This window comes from Homo sapiens, chromosome 1, assembly GCF_000001405.40.
Source record: "Homo sapiens chromosome 1, GRCh38.p14 Primary Assembly".
NCBI lineage: Eukaryota > Metazoa > Chordata > Mammalia > Primates > Hominidae > Homo > Homo sapiens.
The window spans coordinates 52,011,595-52,039,387 of record NC_000001.11 but is presented as its reverse complement, the minus strand read 5'-3'; the positions used below and the strand labels follow the sequence as shown (position 1 = coordinate 52,039,387).

Sequence of the window (27,793 nt, the reverse complement as noted above, 5' to 3'; positions counted from 1 at the left end):
CATTGCACTCCAGCCTGGGAGACAGAGCGAGACTTGGTCTCAAAAAAAAAAAAATTAATCTCTTACAACTCTTGCATATTTTTCCTGGTATTTAGTACAATATCATAAACCTAGAATAACACCATGAAACCCATACAAGGTGCCATTGGTGATGCTGGAAGTGTTCCCAAGAAGCAGAGAATGCTCATGACATTACAAGAAAAAATTGAATTGCTTGATATGTACTGTAGACTGAGGTCTACACAGGTAGTTGCTTGTCGTTTCAAGATAAATGAACCCTTTTTTTTTTTTTTTTTTTTGAGACGGTGTCTTGCTCTGGCCTGGCCAGATGAATCCATTTTGAGAGTCTGAGGCAGGAGGACTGATTGAGCCCAGTAGATTGAGACCAGCCTGGGCAACAAAGTAAGACCCTGTCTCTACAAAAAAAAATTTTTTTAAAGATAAATCCAGCGTAAGGACCAATTGCGTAAAAAAAAAAAAAAAACAGAAAAAGAAAAAAAAAAGAAAATTCATGAAGTTGTCACTGTAGCTATGCCAACAGGTGCAAAAACCTTGCACTTTTTGCCAAATGCCTTTTTATGTGCATAATATGTAGCTTTTACATGGGTACTATAAAAAGGCATACCTATTGACTCTAATATGATTTGAGAAAAAGCAAAGTCATTATATGGCAACTTAAAGCAAAAAGAAGGTGAAGGATCTAAAGCTGGAGTATTTAATGACAACAAATGATGGTTTGCTGATTTTAGAAAGAGGTTTGGCTTAAAAAATGTCAAGACAGGCTGGGCGCAGTGTTGCCCGTAATCCCAGCACTTTGGCAGTCCAAGGCGGGTGGATCATTTGAGGTCAAGAGTTTATGACCAGCCTGGCCAACATGGTGAAACCCCGTCTCTACAAAAAATACAAAAACTAGCTAGGTGGTAGTGGTCCATGCCTATAATCCCAGCTACTTGGGAGGCTGAGGCAGGAGAATCGCTTGAGCCTGGGAGGCGGAGGTTGCATGAGCCGAGATCCCCCCACTGCACTCCAGCCTGGGTGACAGAGTGAGACCCTGTCTCAAAAAAAAAAAAAACAAGATACAGGAGAAGCAGCTTATGCTGACCAAGAGGCAGCAGATGAATTCTCAGACACCGTTAAGAAAATCATTGAAGAGAAAGGATATCTGCCTGAACAGGTGTTTAATGCAGATTAAGGTACCCTACTCTGGAAAAAAAAAGCCACAAAGGACATTAATAGTAAGGAAGACCAACCTGGGCAACATGGGAAACTCTGTCTCTACAAAAAGTACAAAAATTAGCTGGGTGTGGTGGCACACACCTGTTGTTCCTGCTACTCAGGAGTCTGAGGTGGGAGGATTGCTTGAGCCTGGAAGATTGAGGCTGCAGTTAGCCATGAGTGCACCACTGAACTGTAGCCTGGGCAACAGAATAAGACCCTATTTCAGTTTTTAAAAAGGAAAAAAAAAAATAGGAAGAGAAGCAAGTACCAACATTGAAGGCAAGAAGAGACAGGCTAACTCTACTCTTTTGTGCAAAAAAACCCAGCACTTTGGGAGGCAGAGGTGGGACGATTACCAGAGCCCAGGAGTTTGAGTCAAGTTTGTCATCAGAACTGCCCTTGTCTATAAAGCTGTTAACCTCCAGCCTCGAAGAGCAAAGATAAACACCAGCTGCCAGTGTTTAGGTTGTGCAATAAGAAGGCTTAGACAACAAGAACCCTTTTTCTGGATTGGTTCCATCAATGCTTTGTCCCTGAAGTCAGGAAGTACCTTGCCAGTAAGAGACTACCTTTTAAAGTTCTTTTGATGTTGGACAATACTCTGGCCACCCAGAGCCCCATGAGTTCAGCACCAAAGGCAAATTAAAAAGTCTATTTGCGGCTGGGCCCAGTGGCTCATGCCTGTAATCCCAGCACTTGGGAGGCCGAGGTCGGGGGATCACCTGAAGTTGGGAGTTCCAGACCAGCCTGACCAACACGGAGAAACCCAGTCTCTACTAAAAATACAAAATTCGCCGGGCGTGGTGGCACATGCCTGTAATCCCAGCTAATCAGGAGGCTGAGGCAGGAGAATTGCTTGAACCTGGGAGGTGGAGGTTGCAGTGAGCTGAGATCGTGCCATTGCATTCCAGCCTAGGCAACAAGAGTGAAATTCTGTCTCAAAAAAAAAAAAAAAAAAAAAAGGTGGTCTATTTGCCTCCAAACACAATATTTAAATCAGCTACTACATCAGGGGGTGATAAGGACCTTTAAGGTTCATTACACACAGTACTCTCTAGAAAACAGATTGTCAAAGCTATGGAAGAGAACTGCAATAAAGAGAACATCATGAAAGTTTAGGAGGATTATATCGTTGAAGATGCCATTGTCGTTATAGAAATAGCTGTGAAGACCATCAAGCCTGAAACAATAAATTCCTGCTGGATAAAACTGTGTCCAGATGTACACAAGACTTCACAGGGTTTATGACAGATAATCAAAATCATGAAAGAGATTGTGGATATGGCAAAAAAAGGTGAGGGGTAAAGGGTTTTAAGATATGATCTTGGATAAATTCAAGAGCTAATAGACACCAAACCAGAGGAATGAACAGAAGATAACTTGATGGAGATGAGTGCCAGATGATGAGGAAAAACACGTAGAAGAGGCAGTGCCAGAAAACAGATCTGGCAGAAGGTTCTAATTATTTAGAGCTGCTTTTGACTTATTTTACAACATGGACCCTTCTAAGATATGTGCCCTGAAACTAAAGCAAAGAAAAAAGATTGGTATTGTATAGAAACATTTTTAGAGAAATGAAAAAGCAACAAAATCAGACAGAAATTATATTTCCATAAAGTTACACCAAGTGTGCCTGCCTGTTCTACCTCCCCTTCCACCCTCTTCTGCCTCTGCCATCCTGAGACAGCAAGACCAACCTCTCCTCTTCCTCTTCCTCCTCCTCCTCAGCCTACTCAGTGTGAAGACAAGGATGAAGACCTTTATGAGTATCCATTTCCACTTAATGAATACTAAATATATTTTTGCTTCTTTATGATTTTCTTTTTCTTCTTTTTTGCCCCCCTGCTTCCTGGAAAGATTTTCTTAATAACATTTTCTTTTCTCTAGTTTACTTTATTGTAAGAATACAATATATAATATTACATTCAAAATATGTGTTAACTGAATATATTATTAGTAAGGCTTCCAGTCAACAGTAGGCTATTAATAGTTAAGTTTTAGGGAGTCAAAAGGTATATGCTGATTTTTGATGGTGTCAGGGGTCAGTGCCCCTCATCCTGGGGTTGTTCAAGGGTCAGCTGTACTAAGTGCTACTGTGCATTAGGCATTAAATTATGCAAATCAACTCATTTAACTCTCACAACAACTTTTTGAGATTGGTATTATTGTTATCTTAATTTTAGAGATGAAAAAAGTAAGGCACCGTTTTTTCTAAGTTTACTAAAATAACTTGCCCAAGAGCACACAGCTAGCAAGTGGCAGACCCAAGCACTCTGGCTTCAGAGCCTGCTCTTTAAACCTGTATACCATACTGCCTGCTAGAATCAAGTTGAATAGTCTGTAAAGTCTCAAGTAGGTTTAGTTTATGCACAGACAATTCAGTGCATAAGGAGGAGGAAAAGGCAGGGCAGGGGAGGGAAAGCTAAGCACTGGTCTGTGTTTACTTTTTTTTTGTTTGAGACAGAGTTTCGCTCTTATTGCCCAGGCTGGAGTGCAGTGGTGCGATCTAGGCTCACTGCAACCTCCGCATCCCGGGTTCAAGCAATTCTCCTGCCTCAGCCTCCTCAGTAATGGGATTACAGGCACACGCTACCCCACCCGACTAATTTTTTAAAAAGTATTTTTAGTAGAGACAGGGTTTCACCATGTTGGCCAGACTGGTCTCGAGCTCCTGACCTCAGGTGATCTACCCTCTGCCTCCCAAAGTGCTGGGATTACAGGCGCGAGCCACCATGCCGGGCCTGTGTTTACATTTATTTAACCCTCACAACAACCTACAGATTGGTAAACCTGTGAAATAGCAGTTGTTATTTTATAGAAGGGGAAATTGAAGTACAGAAAAGTTACATAATTTGCCAGTAGTTACAACACTAGTAAGTGGAGGAGCCAAGACTTGAATGTTTTTTACTATACTGTACAAGAGAGATACAAAGACCCCAGTATATGTGCATCTACAATATACACACATGCACAGGCACACTCACATTTCTGCACCTACCATCCTATAGTGCTTGCTGTTTATACAAGAGATCCAACAGTTTCATGGCTCTGGGTCTCAAACCTACAATAATAGAGTTGCCAGATTGAGCAAATAAAAATAACGGATGGCCAGGCACAGTGGCTCATGCCTTTAACCCCAGCACTTTGGGAAGCCAAGGCCAGTGGATCACCTGGGGTCAGGAGTTTGAGACCAGCCTGGCCAACATAGTGAAACCCCGTCTCTACTAAAAATACAAAAATTAGCCAGATATGGTGGCGCACACCCATAGTCCCAGCTACTTGGGAGGCTGAGACAGGAGAATCGCTTGAACTCAGGAGGTGGAGGTTGCAGGGAGCTGAGATCATACCACTGTGGTCCAGGCTGGGTGACAGAGCGAGGCTCCATCTCAAAAAATAATAATAATAAAATAAAATAAAGGATGCAGGCCAGGCACCTTGGCTCACACACCTGTATTCCCAGTACTTTGGGAGGCAGAGGTGGCACAATTACTTGAGCCCAGGAGTTTGAGACCAGCCTTAGCAACATACAACCTCATCTCTAAAAAAGAAAAAATAAATAATAATAATAAATTAAAGATGCCCAGTTAAATTTGAAGTTTAGATAAGCACCAAATAATTTTAAATATGTCTATGCAATATTTGGGACACACTTAAGCTTAAAAATGTTTTTGGTGTTTATCTGAAATTCAAATGTAACTGGGCATCCTGTATTTTATCTGGCAACCCTACTAAGGAGAAAAATTCCTATTTGTCTTTCAAGTTCTAAGTCAAATGACTATTTCTACATAAAGTCTTCAGTGATTTCTCTGGGTAGTTTGTTTTTCCCTTCTGTTCTTTTATAACCTCACCTGCATCTATCCATTATAGTATTTATTACTCTGATTGTAGGCGCCTGATCCTTCCCATTCAGACCTTTTATCTTTTGTGGGGAAAGCGTTTTATGTTCATCTCTGAATTCCCAACCTTGGAGATGTTGAATGATTGAAATGGTAATTGAATAAACATTTACTGAGAGCCAGTAGGTTTAAGAGGAGGAATGAAGGAGAACCAGCATTTATTAATTGCCTTCTATATGCTAAATATAGTGCTGATTGCTTACAATATTTAATGCCCCTTAGGCCTTATTAATAAAATGGACGGGCAGTCTTTCGCTGCAGGAAGATCACATTCTCCTGAGGCCTATAACATTTGGCATAAATAACTGATGCCATTATAGTCTCTGTATCTCCTTTCTGAGAAAGCTGAACCTGGGCCTAGCTGGCGTAGAACTCCTGTTTCCATAGAAACAAGAGGGTCTGTAAAAGTCAAGGGAGACAGGAAGAGCAGTTTGCACTTCCGGCTTACGTCGGAGACGCGTACAACCCGGAAGTTGGCGCAGCGCGGTTGCCAATGGTCGCTCCCTGAGAGGATGCCGCTCGTGGTGTTTTGCGGGCTGCCGTACAGCGGCAAGAGCCGGCGTGCTGAAGAGTTGCGCGTGGCGCTGGCTGCCGAGGGCCGCGCGGTGTACGTGGTGGACGACGCAGCTGTCCTGGGCGCAGAGGACCCAGCGGTGTACGGCGATTCTGCCCGTGAGAAGGCATTGCGTGGAGCTCTGCGAGCCTCCGTGGAACGGCGCCTGAGTCGCCACGACGTGGTCATCCTGGACTCGCTTAACTACATCAAAGGTTTCCGTTACGAGCTCTACTGCCTGGCACGGGCGGCGCGCACCCCGCTCTGCCTGGTCTACTGCGTACGGCCCGGCGGCCCGATCGCGGGACCTCAGGTGGCGGGCGCGAACGAGAACCCTGGCCGGAACGTCAGTGTGAGTTGGCGGCCACGCGCTGAGGAGGACGGGAGAGCCCAGGCGGCGGGCAGCAGCGTCCTCAGGGAACTGCATACTGCGGACTCTGTAGTAAATGGAAGTGCCCAGGCCGACGTACCCAAGGAACTGGAGCGAGAAGAATCCGGGGCTGCGGAGTCTCCAGCTCTTGTGACTCCGGATTCAGAGAAATCTGCAAAGCATGGGTCCGGTGCCTTTTACTCTCCCGAACTCCTGGAGGCCCTAACGCTGCGCTTTGAGGCTCCCGATTCTCGGAATCGCTGGGACCGGCCTTTATTCACTTTGGTGGGCCTAGAGGAGCCGTTGCCCCTGGCGGGGATCCGCTCTGCCCTGTTTGAGAACCGGGCCCCACCACCCCATCAGTCTACGCAGTCCCAGCCCCTCGCCTCCGGCAGCTTTCTGCACCAGTTGGACCAGGTCACGAGTCAAGTACTGGCCGGATTGATGGAAGCGCAGAAGAGCGCTGTCCCCGGGGACTTGCTCACGCTTCCTGGTACCACAGAGCACTTGCGGTTTACCCGGCCCTTGACCATGGCAGAACTGAGTCGCCTTCGTCGCCAGTTTATTTCGTACACTAAAATGCATCCCAACAATGAGAACTTGCCGCAACTGGCCAACATGTTTCTTCAGTATTTGAGCCAGAGCCTGCACTGACCAGAGGAGGTAGGGGGGAAGCCATGGCTTCTGATCTCCACTCCACTTTATTTCTCTGGGAAAAATAGGCTGCAGGTCTCCAGAGCATATCGATGCAGTACTGTACTAGAGCTGTTGTGACTGATTCACTCAAACTTTCCTGCATACCCCTGTGCCAGGCCTTGGGTTTACAGCATAAGTTCAGACTAAAGAGAATGGAGAACTATTGTGGTGCAACCTGGCAAATCCCTCAGAGGACAGAGCTAAGGTGGACAGGGATTACCTAGATTGGATCCTACTTGGGCTATCACAGAGCATTGACCATTGGCTTCCCTCATCTGAGGCGTGGGAGAGCAGACTGGATAGATGAGAATTGTTTTAAAACAATTGTGAACAGAAACTGAAGATGGTACAGTTCTACATCTGCACCTGCCCTTTTTTCATACCACAAAAGTATTTTTTGAGTACTGTACTGACTTTTTGCTAGTTTCTATTCTGGGACCGAGTTCACAGATAAATCCATTGGTTTGTATCCTTGAGAAACTTTGTTTTTGTGGAAGTAAGAAAGTTATCTACTAGATTATTTCCTCTAATAAAATCTTTTAAAATAGTCTACTGGAATCTCTTTCACTTAATGTTCCCTGTGTAACTTCATGTAACATTTTAGGTATACTTGTCATTGTTCTGCCTTTAAGTGAAGTAGTATTTTGATAGTTCTGAGAGAGTAGATGTTTTGAGCTACTCTACAGTAATTATATTATGACAATTTCCGTAACTGTTTTGCTTCATTCTGCATTTCAAGGCAAATATCATTGTAAGCTTGTCTTTCATTCTTCATTGATTTCATTGAACAAATGGTAGGTACCTACTTTAACAGTGGCTGTGATTTTCAAAGACCAATTAGATACAGTGTTTTTGCTCTTGAGATATGTGGTGAGAAGCCGGGTGTGGTGGCTCATACTTGTAATCCCAGCACTTTGGGAGTCCAAAATCGAGGTCAGGAGTTCGAGACCAGCCTGGCCAACGTGGCAAAACCTCGTCTCTATTAACAGTACAAAAATTAGTTGGGCGTGATGGTGTGCCTGTAATCCCAGCTACTCTGGAGGCTGAGGCACGAGAATCGCTTGAACCTGGGAGGTGGAGGTTGCAGTGAGCTGAGATCGCACCACTGCACTCCAGCCTGGGCAGCAGTGAAACTGGGTCTTGAAAAACAAACAAAAAGAGATATGTGGTGAGAAATACAAGTAAAAGATAGAATTAGGCTGGGTGCGGTGGCTCATGCCTGTAACCCCAGCACTTCAGGAGCCCAAGGCGGGTGGATCACAAGGTCAGGTGTTCAAGACCAGCCTGACCAACATGGTGAAACCCCATCTCTACTAAAAATACAAAAATTAGCCGGGCGTGGTGGCACGTGCCTGTAATCCCAGCTACTCAGGAGGCTGAGGCAGGAGAATCGCTTGAACCCGGGAGGCGGAGGTTGCAGTGAGCCGAGATCGCGCCACTGCACTCCAGCCTAGGTGACAGAAGGAGACTCCATCTCAAAAAAAAAAAAAAAAAGATAGGATGAAATGGGCTGGTGGTCAGAGGATGATGACAAAAGACAAAATGCTTTGGAAACCTGGTGAAGAGGACTAACTAGCTGTTGGGGGAGGTGGTTTTGGAAAGGTTTTAAGAGGAGTTAACATTTGAACCATCACTGTAGAATAAAGTCAGTAAAGGGCCAAATGGTAAATGTTTTAGGCTTTGTGGACCATCAAATGCTGTTGCTACTTATAGATGGTAAGTAAACAAATAAGCATGAATGTATTTTAATAAAACTACACTGAAATGTGAATTACAATTAATTTTAACATATCACAAAGGAGTCTTTAGATTTGCTTTGCAAACATTGAAAAATGTAAAAATATACAACAAAATATTTGCATATCATGGGCCCTACGGAAGCAGACGGTGGGCTGGATTTGGCCTGCAGACCCTAGTTTGCCAACCCCTGCTCTAGAAGGATAAACAGATGTTTGCCAGGGAGAAAAGAGAAAGCAAGACATTCGAAAACATGCATGCTCTGAAACTATGGAGCTGTTAAAAGAGAGGGTAGATGGGCTGCCTTGGTTGATGGTATATTCCTTGCTCATCAGGTAATCTATACTACCTTTTGTTTCTGATAAACAGGATTCATGTGTGAAATGGAAGTCTGGATGAGGCAAACTCAAAAGGCTTTTTCCAACCTTCATTAAGTTGGTTATTGATTGAATTGGGTCTAACCATGGATTCTGGATTACCATTCTAAATTGAAGTAGACTGTAACCGTCAGAAAGAACATTGGTTTTGGAGTCGGACTTCTGAGTTAGCTAGTAAGTGGCAGAACCTAGGTTTTTGTTTTGGGTTTTTATTTTTTTTTATTTATTTATTTTTGAGACAAGGTCTGGCTGTCTCCCAGGCTGGAGTGAAGTGCTGTGAGTAGCTGGGACTACAGGCATGCACCCCACGACCGGCTAAGTTTTGTATTTTTTTGTAGAGACAGGTTTTCACCATGTTGCCCTGGCTGGTCTTGGACTTGTGAGCTCAAGTGATCCTCCAGCCTCGGCCTCCCAAAGTGCTGAGATTACAGGTGTGAGCCACTGTGCCCGGCCTAGAACCTAGATTTTATGGGGCCAAATATTTACTCTATTGAGCATCTCAATTTTCTCATTTCTATTGTGAGACCATTAATAGTATCTACCCTAGGGTTATTTTGAGGATTTAAATGAGATAATGCATATACAGCACAATGTCATATAATAAACGTTCAGCACATTTTGGCTATTATGGTTACCTATATCCTACTACCCACCTAAACTTGCCCTGCTCATTTGGTTTACAAGCTTTTACAAGTATTGCAGGCAGAAGTCCATCCAGATGTGAGGTAGGCCTAAGGTGAGGTGACTGAATGATTCATTTGACACTTATTAAATGAGTTAATTTATGTATATTTACAGTAGTGCCTGGCACATGGCAAATGGTATATAAGTGTTTGCTATCAATAATATATGTGTCAGATGTAAAGGATATAGAGACAGCTAAGAGTTCCTTGTCTTAGGAATCTCCAAGTCCAGTGGAGGGAGATGGGTAAATAATAGGTACAGATCAATATGTTAAGTGCATGGTAGCTATTATACAGTGTATGTTGTTATGGTGACATGGGGTTGTGTGATGGAGAAAGCTAATGGCTACCTACTTACATGGGGTCTTCCTACTGTCATTTGAGCCTTGAGAGCTTAAGAGCTTCCTCTAGCCAGTCTGGTTCGGGTGGATTGCATTGCTCATTGTGAACAGTTTCCTCCCTGATTATGAAAATTATATTGTAGAAAAATCATGAAATACAGATGTAGTGTAAGGAAAACATCCACAGTCCCATCATCCACAGAAAACTGCTATTATTATGTTTTGGTACATTTTCTTTTAGGCTCTTTTCTCTGTACATATTTTATAATTAAAACCAGACTATAGATACATTTGTATCCTAGTTTTTTATATAAGCTACCAATGAAAAATTATTTTCAATGATTATATAACAATAATCATTTAGAAATACTGTAACATTTTGTTTGCTTTGAGACAGAGTCTGTTCTGTCGGCCAGGCTGGAGTGTAGTGGTGCGGTCTCAGCTCACTGCAACCTCTGCCTCCCAGGCTTAAGCAATTCTCATATTTCAGCCACCCCAGTAGCTGGGACTACAGGCACGTGCCACCACGCCCAGCTAATTTTTGTATTTTTAGTGGAGACAGGGTTTTGTTATGTTGGCCAGGCTGGTCTTGAATCCGTGGCCTCAAGTCATCTGCCCACTTCAGCCTCCCAAAGTGCTGGGATTACAGACATGAGCCACTGTGCCCAGCCCTCCCTAACTTTAAAGCCCAAGTTTGCAGAATTTACAGAAGTGTTAGAACTTAACAATAATTTTGTTACAGCAATTATCTATTATTATTGAACATTTGTCTAAAGATTTTCCCAATTGAAATAATACTACAGAAATGTCTTCACATATTAATCTTTATCATTAAATTTCAAGAAGTAGAATTACTAGATTATAATTTCTTTGTTTTGCTTTTAAGTGGACTGCCCCTGATGGTGATTATTCATAAATCCTGGTGTGGAGCTTGCAAAGGTAAGTGCAAATGCTCAATCTAAATTCAAAACTCAGATGTGTTGTTAAATATTAACATTTAACAAATATTGGCACTGACTCTGGCCCAGCACTACTGACTGTTTAAGGAATACTAAAGAAACATATGACATAGATTTCCTGCCTTCATGAAATTTGCAATTATATTTGGAGGGGATTTTAGGGAAGTTAAGGTGATTAAGATACAGTTATGTCACGTATGGGATTAAGTGCTAAAATGTCAAATGAACAATACATGTTAGAGGAAGCTGAAATGTACGGACAGAGACATGAGAAGGAAGTAGGACCCAAATTAGAACCCAAGTTATCTGACTCTGTGGCATGTGTTCTTTCTGCTATACCACCTTGCCACTTCCCCAGACAGGCTTTTTCTTTTATTTAGTATGCTGCACTTAAAATCCTAGATGGAAAAGGAGTGTAAAAAATAGTATAAAAGACCAGGCGCAGTGGCTCATGCCTGTAATCCCAGCACTCTGGGAGGCTGGGCCGGGCAGATCACTTGAGGCCAGGAGTTGACCAGCCTGCCCAACATAGTGAAACCCCGCCTCTACTAAAAATACAAAAAAAGTAGCTGGATTTGGTGGCACGCGCCTGTAATCCTAGCTACTCGGGAGGCTGAGAATCGCTTGAGCCCGAGAGGCGGAGGTTGCAGTGAGCTGAGATCGTACCATTGTACTCCAGCCTGGGTGACAGAGTGAGACTCTGTCTCAAAAATAATAATAATAATAGGAATGTATGTGTGTATATAACATATATACACATATATACATAACATATATAACATATAATATATACGTATATATGTATATATGTATATATAACATATATACACACATACATATATGTATACACACACATATACACGTGTGGCAGACTGTCACTCTATTGTCTTTCATGTCAATGGTTTTTGAAATGTAACTATAAAAAGCAAATAATGCTTTTCCCCCCTATTCGTATGCCATTATCCTTATTTTATAAATGAGGTAACAGCTTCAGAGAAATGAAGTAAGTCACTCAAGGTCACATAGCTGTGCAGGTTCAGAATCCAGGTAGCCTAATTCTTGTTTTTTAGAGTGTAAAAAAAGTTTGTTATATGAATCAACTAAACAAATGCCTAAACTACCAAAGAGAAATAGTGATGCTTATGTTCGTTAAGGTTTAGTTGTGACAATGATGTTTTTTCTTCTATTCCAAAATCTTTTTCCCCCCAGCTCTAAAGCCCAAATTTGCAGAATCTACGGAAATTTCAGAACTCTCCCATAATTTTGTTATGGTAAATCTTGAGGTAAGACTTTGAGAGTTTCTCCTTTCTGCTATGATTTTAAGACTTTTAAAGTTAGTATCATTCGTGCATATTCATTACAGCTTCATTAGTGGTATGAAGTCAAATTTATGTATGTGTTTTTCTCTTGACCGCTAATACTAAGGCTTGCATCAGATATGTTAGAAAGCCATCTAACATCTATTTCTGGGAGGAACTAGGAGAGGAGAGATTGAATAAGATGACTAAATTTTTTTTTTTTTTATATGGAGTCTGGCTCTGTTGCCCAGGCTGGAGTGCAGTGGTGCGATCCTGGCTCGCTGCAACCTCCTCCTCCCGGGTTAAATCAATTCTCCTGCCTCCGCCTCCCGAGTGGTTGGGACTACAGGCATGCACCACCACACCAGGCTAATTTTTATATTTTTAATAGAGATGGGGTTTTGCCATGTTGGCCAGGTTGGTCTCAAACTCCTGACCTCTGGTGATCTACCCACCTTAGCCTCCCAAAGTGCTAGGATTACAGATGTGAGCCACCGCGTTTGGCCAATTTTTGTATTTTTAGTAGATATGAGGGTCTCACAATGTTGGCCAGGCTAGTCTCAAACCCCTGACCTTAAGTGATCTGCCTGCCTCGGCCTCCCAAAATGCTGGGATTACAGGCGTGAGCCAGCATGCCCAGCCTTAAGATGACTAGATTTTAAGGTCCTTTTATCCTTAGTTTATGATTATGACATGTTTTATGTCTTTGTAAAGCTAGACTAAAGGTATAGTCATACATGCAGACCACAACTTTCTGCAAAATGTGATTCAACTGAGCACCTAATCTGTGTTGGGCTTATATGTGCAACCTGCTTGTTTCCTTATGAAAATAGCTTTTACATACCTCATATAGGCTGCAGGTCTTGGAATCCTGAGTCATAGAATGTCAGATCTTAGAGTTGGAAGGGATTTTTAGGCTATTGGTACTATCCTCATTTTACAGAAAGAACCATCTTAGGCCTGAAGCAGGTATGTGATTTGGTCAAGGTCATAGAGCCTAATAAGTGATAAGAATAGGTACTCTCACCTAGCCGTGCTCTCTTTCAGGCCATACTTTTCACATGTGAGGTACTCAGATGCTCTATGATGATACCGCTAGCCATACGTTTCTGTAAAAATAATGTTTACTTGGGCCAGACATGGTGGCTCATGCCTGTAATCTCAGCACTTTGGGAGGCTGAGGTGGGTAGATCATGAGGTCAGGAGTTCAAGACCAGCCTGGCCAATATGGTGAAACCCTGTCTCTACTAAAAATACAAAAAAATTAGCTGGGTGTGGTGGTGCGTGCCTGTAGTCCCAGCTACTAGGGAGCCTGAGGCAGGAGAATCGCTTGACCCAGGAGGCAGAGGTTGCAGTGAGCTGAGATCGCGCCACTGCACTCCAGCCTGGGTGAGAGAGTGAAACTCCATCTCAAAAAAGAGAAAAAAAAAAAAAAAGATAATGTTTACTTAAACATAGGTCTGGGACTCTTGTGAACACATTAACAGTTAACAGTGAGGCAGCTAAGGGATTGCTTATATAGCTAGGGGATAGCCTGAATGCTGATACACCTCACCATAGCGAAGTATTTAACCCCTGAAATGGGAACCACATCATAAATTGTGAAAGTATTGATTGCCTTTGCACATGAATTCCTCACCACTTTCTGTGGTGAATTAGGATTCCTACTCAAAGGAAACAGTAAAAACGTCTTCATAGAGGATTCTCCAACTTTGGAAATTTCTTAAAAAGAAAACTGATTAGGCCGGGCGTGGTGGCTTATGCCTGTGATCCCAGCACTTTGGGAGGCCAAGGCAGGTGGATCACAAGGTCAGGAGATTGAGACCATCCTGGCTAACATGGTGAAACCCCGTCTCTACTAAAAATATAAAAAAATTAGCTGGGCATGGTGGCGGGCACCTGTAGTCCCAGCTACTCAGGCAGCTGAGGCAGAAGATGGCATGAACCCAGGAGGCGGAGCTTGCAGTGGGCCGAGATCGCACAACTGCACTCCAGCCTGGGCGACAGAGCGAGACTCCGTCTCAAAAAAAAAAAAAAAGAAAACTGATTGTGTAGGTTTTTAATCTCCTGGGAGGACTATGAGTCCACAACTTTGACTAAAATGCCAGTCTTATTGATTCATGCACTAAAGAAATACTATGTGCAAGTCAATGATGTAGGTACTAGGAATATAGCAGTGAACAAAACAGACAAAATTTCCTCGTTGAAATAACATGCTAGTGTGGGAAGACAGAAAATAAGTATTTTAGAATATGTCAGATGGTGGTAAATGCTAGGGCTAAAAAAGAAAGGTGGAAGGGATGACTGTGGTTTTAAATAGATGGTTTGAAAATAAAGGGATATTTGAGCAAAGGTCTGAAACAGAAAAGGGAGTCAACCATGTGGATAATAATGGGGAAAGTGTGTTCAGCAGAGAGTTAAGAGCAAGTCCAAAAGCCTGTGTTAGGATTATCCCTGGCTTGTTTAATGACAGCAACAGCAAGAGGTCAGTGTAGCTGAAGAGGACTTAACAAGGGGTAGGACATTAAGTTAGAGAAGTGCCTAGGTGATAGATCATGTAGGGCCTTATAGGCCACTGCAAGGACTTGGGGTTTTGCCCTGACAAGTGGGGAAGCCACTGAATGGTTTTGAGGAGAGAGAGGACGTTATCTGACTTAAGGTTTACATTTAATCTTAATAGGATGAAGAGGAACCCAAAGATGAAGATTTCAGCCCTGACGGGGGTTATATTCCACGAATCCTTTTTCTGGGTAAGGCACATGATCTTAACCTGGGAATCCATGATGTGGATGGAGAGAGAAATGAATCAAGGCACTGACTTCACCTAGTGAAACTATACCAGGATGACCACAAACAAATAAAAACCAGTTTCAAGAGAGAGTGGGGGAGTTCTGAATGCTAGAACTACAAGTCTGAAGGAAAACTTTTCCCATTAACTAACTGCTTTTGTAAGCAATGACAAAAGTTTGGCCGGGCACAGTGGCTCATGCCTGTAGTCTCAGCACTTTGGGAGGCTGAGATGGGTGAATTGCTTGAGTCCAATTTGAGACCAGCATGGGCAACACGGTGAAAGCCCGTCTCTACAAAAAGTACAAAAATTAGCCGGGTGTGGTGGCACGCACCTGTAGTCTCAGCTATTTAGGAGGCTGAGGCGGGAGGATCAATTGAGCCTGGGAGGTCAAGGCTGCAGTGAGCCATAATCACGCCACTGCCCTTGAGCCTGAATGACAGAAGGAAACTGAATGACCCTGTCTCAAAAAAAAAAAAAAGAGTTTGATCATTTATTCACTTCAATAGCCATTTGCGCATCAGCCATATGTCAAGCACTGTATTAGACACTACAGAGACAGATATAAGCCAGAATTCTCACCCTTGAACCTATAGTGCACCTAAGGCAATGGAATAATATAACCAGATAAATGTCTTTCCACAAATAATTTTATAAGAGATATTTAATGACCACCTAATCTTTGTTCAGCATAAATTCTGCTAGGTTTTATGGGGGATAGAAGTCAAAATCATCAAGCAGAAAAGGAAGCAGAAATGTAGGAGGTATTATGGTGAGGTAATGGGCTGCAAATATGGGCAGATCTTATTTCCCAGAGGGCCCGATGTACCAGGTAGTGTTTGAAGTACCTGTCTGTTGTAATTACTGCAAAACTCTGTGTCATTTTGTCTATAACAGATCCCAGTGGCAAGGTGCATCCTGAAATCATCAATGAGAATGGAAACCCCAGCTACAAGTATTTTTATGTCAGTGCCGAGCAAGGTATAGTTATGCTGAAGGGAGGGAGGATTATTGCTAGATTGAACTAGGATGAACCACATGCAAGGTCTGTGATAGGAAAGTAAATTCAGCATGTTAGCTGAGCATCTCCTGCATGTCTATAGCTTTTGGCCAGATCCTGTGTAGGATATAGGAGGAAGATGAGACTGAGCCCCTTCCCTTGGAAGAGCTGACTGACCCACAGGCAGCTGTGAAGAACTGAGGCACACAAGTGACTGAGGTAGTCACTTGCCCATAGTTTCATAGTTAAGTAGCAGAGCCAGAATTTGAGTCCAGAACTTAGTTTTTTTCCTACTGAGCTAATACTGTTTTTCCTATGAAAATTCAGTGGAAGAGGAATAGTGTTAGGTGAACAAGTCTAAGAGGTTTTATAGATATTAAACTTAAATAGGCCGAGCACAGTGGCTCATACCTGTAATCTCAGCACTTTGGGAGGCCGAGGCAGGCAGATCACTTGAGGTCAGGAGTTCAAGACCAGCCTGGCCAACATGGCAAAGCCCCATCTCTACTAAAAATACAAAAAATAGCTGAGCGGGCTGGGCGTGGTGGCTCACGCCTGTAATCCCAGCACTTTGGGAGGCCGAGGCGGGAGGATCATGAGGTCAGGAGATTGAGACCATCCTGGCTAACATGGTGAAACCCCGTCTCTACTAAAAATACAAAAAATTAGCTGGCGTGGTGGCAGGTGCCTGTAGTCCCAGCTACTCGGGAGGCTGAGGCAGGAGAATGGCGTGAACCCGAGAGGCAGAGGTTGCAGTGAGCCAAGATCGTGCGCCATTGCACTCTAGCCTGGGTGACAGAGCGAGACTCTGTCTCAAAAAAAAAAAAAAAAAAAAACCAAAAAAACCCCGAAACGTAAACGGACCTAGAAGGATAAAAATTTCATCTCTGGACAGATATGAGGAGGACATTTCAAGCTATGGAAGTGAAGTGGCGGGGGAATGTAGCCCAACATAGAGTTTGTAAGGCTTGCTAGAAGAAATAATGACTGGATTAAGCCTTAGAGAATAAGACCTTGTCAGTAGCAGAATGGGAAAAGCATGTTCCAGGAGAGAGAAGAGCACCAGCACAAACAAGTGAAGGAAGTTTGCAATCGTCAGCCAGTCATGCTTTTTTGTTCTCTAATCTTTGAGCACAGTCATTCTGGAGGCAGGGGTTGGAATTCATGCCATGTATTGTTGCTGCTTTCCTTCCTTTTCCCCTCATCTATGAAAGGGAGTTGTGTGCTAAGTTGCCATGTGTCCCTATTTGCCATGCTGCCAGGCTGTTGATCACTTTATGATTTGAGTCCTTGATACTCTTATTCTCAGACTAGGGACGGGGAGGAGATCTGTAGAAGCTATTACCTTCTTCCCCTGAGTAAGGAGAATGTCATGTTCCTTAACCAAATGCAGATCACTGGAGATTGGTATCAAAGGGAAATTTTCCACGTGGAGAAGGGCAGCTGGGCTTTAGGTCTCCAATTCTTGTATCTTGAGATTCACCTTCCCTTTAGAATTTCATCCAAGTTACCACTGCTGTCTCCACACTGACATAGTCCAGATGTGAACATGAGACCCTTCCCTGAATCCTCCATCTCTCAGCTGACATGAAACTGGAACATTCAAACCCAGCTTTACTAAAGGCATAGGCAAAACAAAACAGAAATAACAAACTGTATTATCTGCCTCTTATGAGCTTATGGTTTGGCTTTGCAAGATTCATAGACTCTGGCTCAACCCAGCTTCTGGCCTGCCATTATATAGGGGTGCTTTGTAGAACCACCATTCAGGAGCCTATACTGAAATAGCTGTCCCCCTTGAGTCTAAATCCATAAGCAGGATGCCCCAAGACAGACAAGAAGTTTCATCTCGAGTCTACTTAAGGCCCTCCTTCCAGGTTTCTCTCTCTCTTTTTTTTTTTTTTTTTTTTTGGCCTGAGAACTTGGCTTCATCCATGTATAGTTGATACTGGAAATGACGACCCCCTTCAGTAGAGACACCCCCGCCCCAGCACACACACCCCTCAGTGTAATCTGTAACCTCCACAGGAAGTAAAATAAGTGCAACATTCATCCAAAAGATACAATGGGGACGGTAGGAAGGTGTTTCCTCTTCCCTGGGGGTGAAGTGAACATCTACAGTCTAGGACAGGGGATCAGCTCTAATCCTAGAGGGTAAGCCAAAATAACTGCTAAGATTTTGGTATGACTTCGTAGTTGATAAAGCACTTTTATTATCCATTCTCCCATTTAACTTTTATAATACTGTGTGAAGTGAGTTACATTATTTCATTTTATAAATGAGGAAACAAATTCAAAGAGATAAATGACTTGCCAGGGCCAAAATCCAGAGCTAGATCTTGAGTCCAGATCTTGTACTCCTCTCATATTTCTTCTGAAACATTTAAAAGTGTACATTGGTTGTCAAATGTCAAACATTACTTACTTCATACTTTTTTCCTCCAATCTTTATTTCACAGTTGTTCAGGGGATGAAGGAAGCTCAGGAAAGGCTGACGGGTGATGCCTTCAGAAAGAAACATCTTGAAGATGAATTGTAACATGAATGTGCCCCTTCTTTCATCAGAGTTAGTGTTCTGGAAGGAAAGCAGCAGGGAAGGGAATATTGAGGAATCATCTAGAACAATTAAGCCGACCAGGAAACCTCATTCCTACCTACACTGGAAGGAGCGCTCTCACTGTGGAAGAGTTCTGCTAACAGAAGCTGGTCTGCATGTTTGTGGATCCAGCGGAGAGTGGCAGACTTTCTTCTCCTTTTCCCTCTCACCTAAATGTCAACTTGTCATTGAATGTAAAGAATGAAACCTTCTGACACAAAACTTGAGCCACTTGGATGTTTACTCCTCGCACTTAAGTATTTGAGTCTTTTCCCATTTCCTCCCACTTTACTCACCTTAGTGGTGAAAGGAGACTAGTAGCATCTTTTCTACAACGTTAAAATTGCAGAAGTAGCTTATCATTAAAAAACAACAACAACAACAATAACAATAAATCCTAAGTGTAAATCAGTTATTCTACCCCCTACCAAGGATATCAGCCTGTTTTTTCCCTTTTTTCTCCTGGGAATAATTGTGGGCTTCTTCCCAAATTTCTACAGCCTCTTTCCTCTTCTCATGCTTGAGCTTCCCTGTTTGCACGCATGCGTGTGCAGGACTGGCTGTGTGCTTGGACTCGGCTCCAGGTGGAAGCATGCTTTCCCTTGTTACTGTTGGAGAAACTCAAACCTTCAAGCCCTAGGTGTAGCCATTTTGTCAAGTCATCAACTGTATTTTTGTACTGGCATTAACAAAAAAAGAGATAAAATATTGTACCATTAAACTTTAATAAAACTTTAAAAGGAAATGTGCTGTGATGGCCTTTTTGTTATTGGAAAAGGAGGGAGGGATGGAGATCACTTCAGGAAGAAAACTAACCTAGAGGACCTAATCTAGGAGTCCTAACCTAGGACTCCTGCTCCTTCACCTCCCACATTCAAATGAGCACAATGGCTCCTCTCTTTTACTTTTTAAATACCTGAATTTCCTCTGTCCACACTATCACTGTTTTAGCACGGGGCAGGCTTTTTCTCTCTTCGACTATTTATTGCTATAGCCCCTTAACTTGCCTATTGGCTCTAATATTCCCTCCTCCTGCAATCGATCCATATCACTCCCCTGTTTAAAACCTTTCCTGGCTGGACACAGTGGCTCACGCCTGTACTCCCAGCACTTTGGGAGGCCAAGGTGGGCGAATCACCTGAGGTAGGGAGTTCGAGACCAGCCTGGCCAACATGGCGAAACCCCGGCTCTACTAAAAATACAAAATTAGGCCGGGCGCGGTGACTCACGCCTGTAATCCCGGCACTTTGGGAGGCCGAGGCGGGCGGATCACGAGGTCGGGAGATCGAGACCACGGTGAAACCCCGTCTCTACTAAAAATACAAAAAAAAAAAAAAAAATTAGCCAGGCGCGGTGGTGGGCGCCTGTAGTCCCAGTTACTCGGGAGGCTGAAGCAGGAAAATGGCGTGAACCCGGGAGGCGGAGCTTGCAGGGAACCGAGATCGCACCACTGCACTCCAGCCTGGGTGACAGAGCGAGACTCCGTCTCAAAAAAACAAAACAAAACAAAAACAACAAAATTAGCCGGATGTGGTGGCACATGCCTGTAATCCCAGCTACTCAGGAGGCTGAGGCAGGAGAATCGCTTGAACCCGGGAGGCGGAGGTTGTGGTGAACTGAGATTGTGCCATTGCACTCCAGCCTGGGCAACAAGAGTGAAACTCCATCTCAAAAAAAAAAAAAAAAAAAAAAAAAAAAAAAACCTTTCCAGCCATCTTTAAGATAATAGTATTAATGGTAGGAGATATTTGAACCTCAGTCTGTGCCAAGTACTCTTCTAAGTGCTTTATATATGTTATCCCATTTAGTTTCACTTTAGTACTCCTAACAGCCCTGTGATAAAGGTACTACTGTACTCCCAGAGTACAGAGGAAGAATTTGAAACATAAGGAAGCCAAGACACAGGATAAAGTCAAGATCTTTACCATGGCCTTTAAGAAGCTGCCTACTTCTTCAACCTCATTTATTCCCATTTATGTTTTTGCATTATGTGTTCTTGTGACACCAAATTGCTTTGAGTTCTCCTGACAACATGCTGTTTTATGCTTTTCTATCTTCGTTCATCTTGTTTCCTCAGCCTAAAATATGTTCTTTCTGTTCTTCCTTCATACCCATTTTGAGCCACTTCTTCCAGAGAGTCTTCCCTGATCTTTCTCATGAGGATAAAATATCCTTTCCCCAATACATCTATCATAGCCCTGGACCACTTTACATTGAAGTAACCCAATTGCACATCTGGGGCTGTCATCAGGTGGCCATTCTCCTCGAGGGCAGAAGCTAGTCCTCTGTCCTGTGTATCTAAAACTTTCAGGTGACTTGCCAAGGTCTATGTTAGGTTCTTTTCATCCATTCTCTAAACACCATCAGTGGTCCTGTGGGATAGGTATTAGTAACGTCATTTTAGGGGGAACTTTAGAGAAGGCAAAGACTAGCCAGGTTCTTTTGTTGTTGTTGTTGTTGTTGTTGTTGTTTGAGACGGAGTTTCGCTCTTATTGCCCAGGCTGGAGTGCAATGGCGAGGTCTTGGCTCACCGCAACATTGAATGCCTCCCGGATTCAAGCGATTCTCCTGCCTCTGCCTCCCAAGCAGCAGGGATTACAGGCACCCATCACCATGCTCATCTAATTTGTTTTTTTTTTTTTTTTTTTTTTGGGGGGGATGGAGTCTCGCTCTTGTCACCCAGGCTGGAGTCCCGTGGTGTGATCTCGGCTCACTGTAACCTCTGCCTCCTGGGTTCAAGCTATTCTCCTGCTTCAGCCTCCTGAGTAGCAGGGATTACAGGAGCCCCCCCACCACGCCCAGCTAATTTTTGTACTTTTAGTAGGGACAGGATTTCGCCATGTTGGCCAGACTGGTCTCGAACTCCTGACCTCAGGGTGATCCACCCTCCTCGGCCTCCCAAAGTGCTGGGATTATAGGCATGAGCCATTGTGCCCGGCCTAATTTTTGTATTTTTAGTAAAGATGGGGTTTTAGTAAAGACCATGGTGGCCAGGCTGGTGTCAAACTCCTGACCTTTAGGTGATCCACCTCCATCAGCCTCCCAAAATGCTGGGATTATAGGTGTGAGCCACCAAGCTCAGCAGACTTCAGGTTCTAAACTAAGTAAATACTGGATTCTAACCAGCGTTGTCTGATTCCATATTCATGATTTTCCAACCACATTACTTCCTTTATGTCCTGAGGTGTCTCATTGGAACGAGTTTTATTTTTTCTTTCTTTCCTTTTTTTTTTTTTTGAGATGAAGTCTCGCTCTTGTCCCCCAGTCTGGAGTGCAATGGTGCGATCTCGGCTCACTGCAACCTCCACCTCCCAGGTTCAAGCGATTCTCCTGCCTCAGCCTCCCGAGTACCTGGGATTACAGGTGCATACCACCACACCCAGCTAATTTTTTGTATTTTAAGTAGAGACGGGGTTTCACCATGTTGGCCAGGCTGGTCTCAAACTCCTGACCTCAGGTGATCCGCCTGTCTCGGCCTCCCAAAGTGCTGGGATTACAGGCTTGAGCCACCATGCCCAGCCTTGCTTTGCTTTGTTTTGCTTTTCCTTCCTTCCTTCCTTCCTTCCCTCTTTCCTTCCCTTCTTTCTTTTTCTTTCTTTCTGTTTTCTTTTTTTCTTTTTTTTTTTTGAGACAGAGTATCGCTCTGTCGCCCAGGATGGAGTGCGTGCAGTGGTGCGATCTCGCCTCACTGCAACCTCCGCCTCCTGGGTTCAAGCAATTCTTGTTCCTCAGCCTCCCCATTACCTGGGATTATAGGTGTGTGCCACCACACCCGGCTAATTTTTGTATTTTTTGTAGGGATGGGGTTTCACCATGTTGTCCAGGCTGATCTTGAACTCCTGACCTCAAGTGATCCACCCGCTTCGGCCTCCCGAAGTGCTGGGATTACAGGTGTGTGCCACTGCGCCTGGCATTTTTTATTTTTTATTTTTTATTTTTTTTAGATGGGATCTTGCCCTGTCACCCAGGCTGGAGGGCAGGGGTGCAATCTTGGCTTACTGCAACCTCCACCTCCCAAGCTCAAGCAATCCTCCCATCTCAGCCTCCTAAATAGCTAGGCCCACAGGTACCAGCCACCATGCCCAGCTAATTTTTTAATTTTTTGTAGAGATGGGGTTTCACCATGTTGCCCAGGCCGGGGTATAGGAGTTTTCTTTTTCTTTTTTCTTTTCTTTTTTTTTTTTTGAGACGAAGTCTTACACTGTCACCCAGGCTGGAGTGCACTGGTGTGATCTCAGCTCACTGCAACCTCTGCCTCCTGGGATCAGGCAGTTCTCTTGCCTCAGCCTCCTGAGTAGCTGGGATTATAGGCATGTGCCACTACACCTGGATAATTTTTGTATTTTTAGTAGAGACAGGGTTTCACCATGTTGGCCAGGCTGGTCTTGCTCCTGACCTCAGGTGATCCACCCACCTTGGCCTCCTAAAGTGCTGGGATTACTGGTGTGAGCCACCGCACTCAGCCCAGGAGTTTTCAATCTGGGGTACATAAAGACTTTACATGGAATACATGGACATAGAAACTTTAGTGAATTTTTTTCTAGATCTTCATCTTCCTAAAACTGATTTCCTAGGATTCCTCAAAAAATTAAAATTATCATGTGATTAAGCAATTCCCCCTCTAGGTATATACCCGGAAGAACTGAAAACAGAATCTTGAACAGATTATTTGTAAAACCTGTGTTCATAGCAGCATTATTCGCATCAGCCAAAAAGTGGAAGTAAACCAAGTGGCCACTGAGAAATGAATTGGTAAACAAAAGGTGTTATGTACAGACTGGGCAAGGTGGCTCACGCCTGTAATCCCAGCACTTTGGGAGGCTGAAGAGAGGATCGCTTGAGCCCAGGAGTTCCAGATCAGCCTGGGCAACATAGTGAAAACCCGTCTCAATAAAAAATAAATAAAAATAAAAATGTGGTTTGTACATGCAACGAAATATTATTAGCCTTAAAAAGAAAGGAAATTCTGACATGTGCTACAACATGGATGAACCTTAAAGATGTTCCAAGTGAAATAAGTCAAGCACAAAAGAACAAATATTATATGATTCCACCGACATGAGCTACCTAAAATAGTCAAATTCCTAGAGACAGAAAGTAGAATGGTGGTTGCTAGGGGTTGGTGGGAGGGTGAATGGGGAGTTAGTGTTTAATGGATACAGAGTTTCAGTTTTGGAAAATGAAAAATTTCTGGAAAGGGATGGTGGTGATGGTCGCCAAATAATGTGAATGTACTTAACACCACTGAACTGTACATTTAGAAATGGTTACAACAGTAAATTTTATGCATATTTCACCATAATAAAGGTGATTTCCCAGGAAATGTCAGCAAGATCAAGAGTCCCCAGACCCTGGGCTGCATGCTGGTACCTGTCCATGGCCTGTTAGGAACTGGGCCACACAGCAGGAGGTGAGTGGTGGGCAAGCAAGCATTACTGCCCAAGCTCTGCCTTCTGTCAGATCAGTGGCGGCATTAGATTCTCATAGGAAAGCGAATCCTACTGTCAACTGTGCCTGCAAGGGATCTAGGTTGTGTGCTCCTTATGAGAATCTAACTAATGCTTGATGATCTGAGGTGGAGCAGTTTCATCCCAAAACCAACCCTGCTGCCTCAGTCCATGGAAAAACTCTTTCACAAAACTGGTCCCTGGTGCCCAAAAGGTTGGGGATCACTGATCAAGATAGTTCATTCCCACCTTCTTTGTCACTATTCACCTTTCCCCATCCTATGGGGAAAAAAAGGCATACCTCTTACTCACCCTGAATTTTAATATGTTACATTGTCCTATTTTGTAAAAGCCAAACAAAGGAAACCTAAAATGGGACTAAGCGGCCCAGTGAGGTGGCTCATGCCTGTAATCCCAGCACTTTGGGAGGTCAAGGTGGGAGGAGCACCTGAGGTAAGGAATTAGAGACCAGCCTGGCCAACATGGTGAAACCCCACCTCTACTAAAAATTCAAAAATTAGCTGGGCATGGTGGCGTGTGCCTGTAATCCCAGCTACTTGGGAGGCTGACTTAGGAGAATCGCTTGAACCTGGGAAGCGGGGTTGCAGTGAGCCAAGATTGCGCCACTGCACTCCAGCCTGGACAACAGAGCGAGACCCTGTCTCAAAATAAAATAAAATAAAATAAAATAAAATAAAATAAAATGTGACTAAACTTTCTTGATTAGAGGCTTTTTGTCTTGTACATAGTTCTGTCCAAACATGGTTCTGTGAAGAGCAAAACCTGACATGAGCAATGGGACAGTTTGCACAGTTTGATGATATTTTGAATTTAGACATAATAAACTGGCAGTGATGAAATTTTGCTTCCTCCAATCCTCAAGTATTATTAAAGAAGGCACTTCTCCTGAGGAAGAGTTCTGAGGAGCATTGGTAAAGTTTTGAAGTCATCCAGGTGGGAAATTCATGACAAGCCTTCACCTCTTAGAACTGGAATTTGGAATATCTTGAATTAGAATTTGGAATATTTTAGGATTAAAATTTGGAACATTTTAGGATTAGAATTTGGAACTAAAATAGTTGTCATAGGGAGTTATGTTAACGTATTTATTTGCATTGGAAAATGAAGAATAGAGTTACAATGTTGCTTCTGGGCAAAGACTTGAACAGACATTTCCCAAAAGAAGACATATGAATGGCCAAAAAGCACATGAAAATGTGTGACTATTAGGTATCAGAGAAATTCAGATTAAAACTATGATGAGATACCATTTCCCAACTGCCAGAATTGCTAAAATTAAGAAAAAACTGATGATACTAAGTGTCAGAGAGGATGTGGGACAACTGGAACTCTTATATATTGCTACTAAGAGTGTAAAATGGTACTACTTTGGAAACAGTTTGCAATATTTAATAAAGCTAAATATACACTTACTATGTAACCCACAAATCCCAGAATTATATGACTATATGGATTATATGAAACATAGGAACACAACACACACACACATACACACACCCACACACAAGCTTATCAAAAATATTCATGGGCAGGTGTGGTGGTTCATGCCTGTAATCTTAGCACTTTGGGAGGCCGAGGTGGGAGGATCACTTGAGGCCAGGAGTTTGAGACCAACCTAGGCAACATAATGAGACCCTTTCCCTACAAAAAATTGCCAGGCATAGGGTAGTGCACTTACAGTCCCTGGTACTTGGGAGGTTGGGGCAGAAGAATCACTTGAGCCCAGAAGTTTGAGGCTGTCATGAGCTGTGATCATGCCACTGCAGCCCAGCTTGGGTGACAGTGGGACCCATCTTAACAAATAAAATGTGAAAAAGTATGTTTATGGCAACTTTATTCATAATATCCAAAAAACTGGATTCATCCTCAATGCCTATCAACAAATAAATGGATAACATTTGGTATATTCATACAAAAGGGTACCACTCAGAATGAAACAGAACAAACTGGCCAGGCACGGTGACTCACGCCTATAATCCCAGCACTTTGGGAGCCCAAGGTGGGTGGATCACGAGGTCAGGACATCGAGACCATCCTGGCTAACACAGTGAAACCCTGTCTCACTAAAAAATACAAAAAAAATTAGCCGGGCGTTGTGGGAGGCACCTGTAGTCCCAGGTACTCGGGAGGCTGAGGCAGGAGAATGGCATGAACCCAGGAGGCAGAGCTTGCAGTGAGCTAAGATTGCGCCACTGTGCTCCAGCCTGGGCGACACAGCGAGACTCCGTCTCAAAAAAAAAAAAAAAAATTAACTGGGTGTGGTGGTGTGCACCTGTAGTCCCAGCTACTTGGGAGGCTGAGGCAGAAGAATCACCGGAACTGGAAGGTGGAGGGCAGAGGTTGCAGTGAGCCGAGATTGCATCACTGCACTCCAGCCTGGGTGACAGAGCAAGACTCCATCTCGGAAAAAAAAAAAAAAAGAAAAGAAAAGAAAAAGAACACACTACTGATAACATGCAACAACATGGATGAATTTCAGAAGCATATTGAGTGAAAAGACAGGCCAAAAAAATGGTATATTTATATAAAGTTTTGGAACAGGCAAAGCTTAACTATAGCAGGAGAAAGCAGATCAGTGGTTACGTGGCATTGGGGATGGGGGTGAGAAGGGTTTGACTGCAAAGGCACCAGAAGGAACATTCTGTGGTGATGGAAATGTTGATTGTGGTGGTTACACAGTTGTTTATATTTGTCAAAATACATTGAATCATAAACTAGACATGTGAATTTTTTTTTTTTTTTTGAGATTGAGTCTTGCTCTGTTGCCCAGGCTGGAGTGCAGTGGCACCATCTAGGCTCACTGCAACCTCTGCCTCCTGGGTTCAAGCTATCCTCCTGCCTCAGCCTCCTGAGTAGCTGGGATTACAGGCATGCGCCACCACGCCTGGCTAATTTTTGTACTTTTAGTAGAGACGGGGTTTCGCCATGTTGGCCAGGCTTGTCTCGAACTCCTGACCTCAGGTGATCCACCCGCCTCTGCCTCCCAAAGTGCTGGAATTACAGGCGTGAACCACCGCGTCTGGCCGACATGTGAATATTTATTGTGTGTAATTTATACCTCAATATATTTGATTTTTTGTTTGTTTGTTTGTTTGTTTTAAGACAGAGTCTCACTCTGTCACCAGGCTGGAGGCATGATCTCAGCTCACTGCAATCTCTGCCTCCCTGGTTCAAGTGATTCCCCTGCCTCAGCCTCCCGAGTAGCTGGGACTATAGGCATGCACCACCATGCCTGGCTAATTTTTTGTATTTTAGTAAAGACAGGGTTTTACCATGTTGGCCAGGATGGTCTCTATCTCCTGACCTCGTGATCTGCCTGCCTTGGCCTCCCAAAGTGCTGGGATTACAGGTGTGAACTACCGTGGCCGGCCTGGAGTAGGTGAATTTTTAAAATATTTAAGAGAAAAAATAAACAATAACTGATGATTAAGGAGAGAGGTTAGAAGAAGTCAAAGACAGGTCTCAGGTTTCTGGCATGTAAAACAGCAGAGGGTGGTGCTATTTACTTATTGGATAAGGAACACTGCAAGAGAGAGAAAGATCACTGTTAGGACTACCAGAATCTATTTCTTTTTTTTTCTTTTTCTTTTTTTTTTTTTGGTCCTTTAGGGGTTCTAAAACAACGTACAAAAATACATTAGTTTGCCCAGCTGCCTATCAGGATATTTATTGGCACATGTACCCAATAGGCCTGGGGAGTTGAATAAAGGATTATCCATGCAAGTATAAATTAGAAAGACAAATTTCAAAAATGATTTTATCAACCAAACTTCCCTCTCTCACTTCCAAATCCTATATCTCCTCCTATTAAGA

At 43.4% G+C, this 27,793-nt stretch overlaps 2 protein-coding genes across 4 annotated transcripts in view, besides 1 other annotated feature; both read left to right on the top strand.

Annotated features, from left to right (window-relative positions):
- Window positions 1–19,257, top strand: part of TXNDC12 (thioredoxin domain containing 12) — a 36,041-nt gene extending 16,784 nt beyond the window's left edge. The window contains exons 3-7 of one of the 3 annotated variants that reach the window (NM_015913.4): window positions 10,758–10,810; window positions 12,040–12,113; window positions 14,809–14,878; window positions 15,814–15,897; window positions 18,376–19,257. In NM_015913.4, coding sequence (NP_056997.1) covers window positions 10,758–10,810; window positions 12,040–12,113; window positions 14,809–14,878; window positions 15,814–15,897; window positions 18,376–18,455 — 361 coding nt within the window. In that variant the 3' untranslated portion in view covers window positions 18,456–19,257. Of the gene's footprint in view, window positions 1–5,336; window positions 7,292–10,757; window positions 10,811–12,039; window positions 12,114–14,808; window positions 14,879–15,813; window positions 15,898–18,375 lie in introns of those variants that run through there. The other 2 variants (NR_046406.1, NR_046405.1) reach the window with 2 other exon arrangements.
- Window positions 5,572–5,871: an enhancer, noted in NCBI's record as "active region_1030". NCBI's record gives its function as "activates an Ori minimal core promoter by ATAC-STARR-seq in GM12878 lymphoblastoid cells {active_cell/tissue: GM12878}" and the evidence as "EXISTENCE:reporter gene assay evidence [ECO:0000049][PMID:35858748]".
- On the top strand, window positions 5,578–7,285 carry KTI12 (KTI12 chromatin associated homolog). The gene has a single exon (NM_138417.3). It carries the CDS (start codon window positions 5,627–5,629, stop codon window positions 6,689–6,691), a length of 1,065 nt encoding a protein of 354 aa, NP_612426.1. The 5' UTR covers window positions 5,578–5,626; the 3' UTR covers window positions 6,692–7,285.
- Window positions 19,258–27,793: the final 8,536 nt, after the last annotated feature.

Coding starts and splice junctions, on each gene's coding strand:
- KTI12 (NM_138417.3), top strand. CDS start 5,627: ATGCCGCTCGTGGTGTTTTGCGGGCTGCCGTACAGCGGCAAGAGCCGG.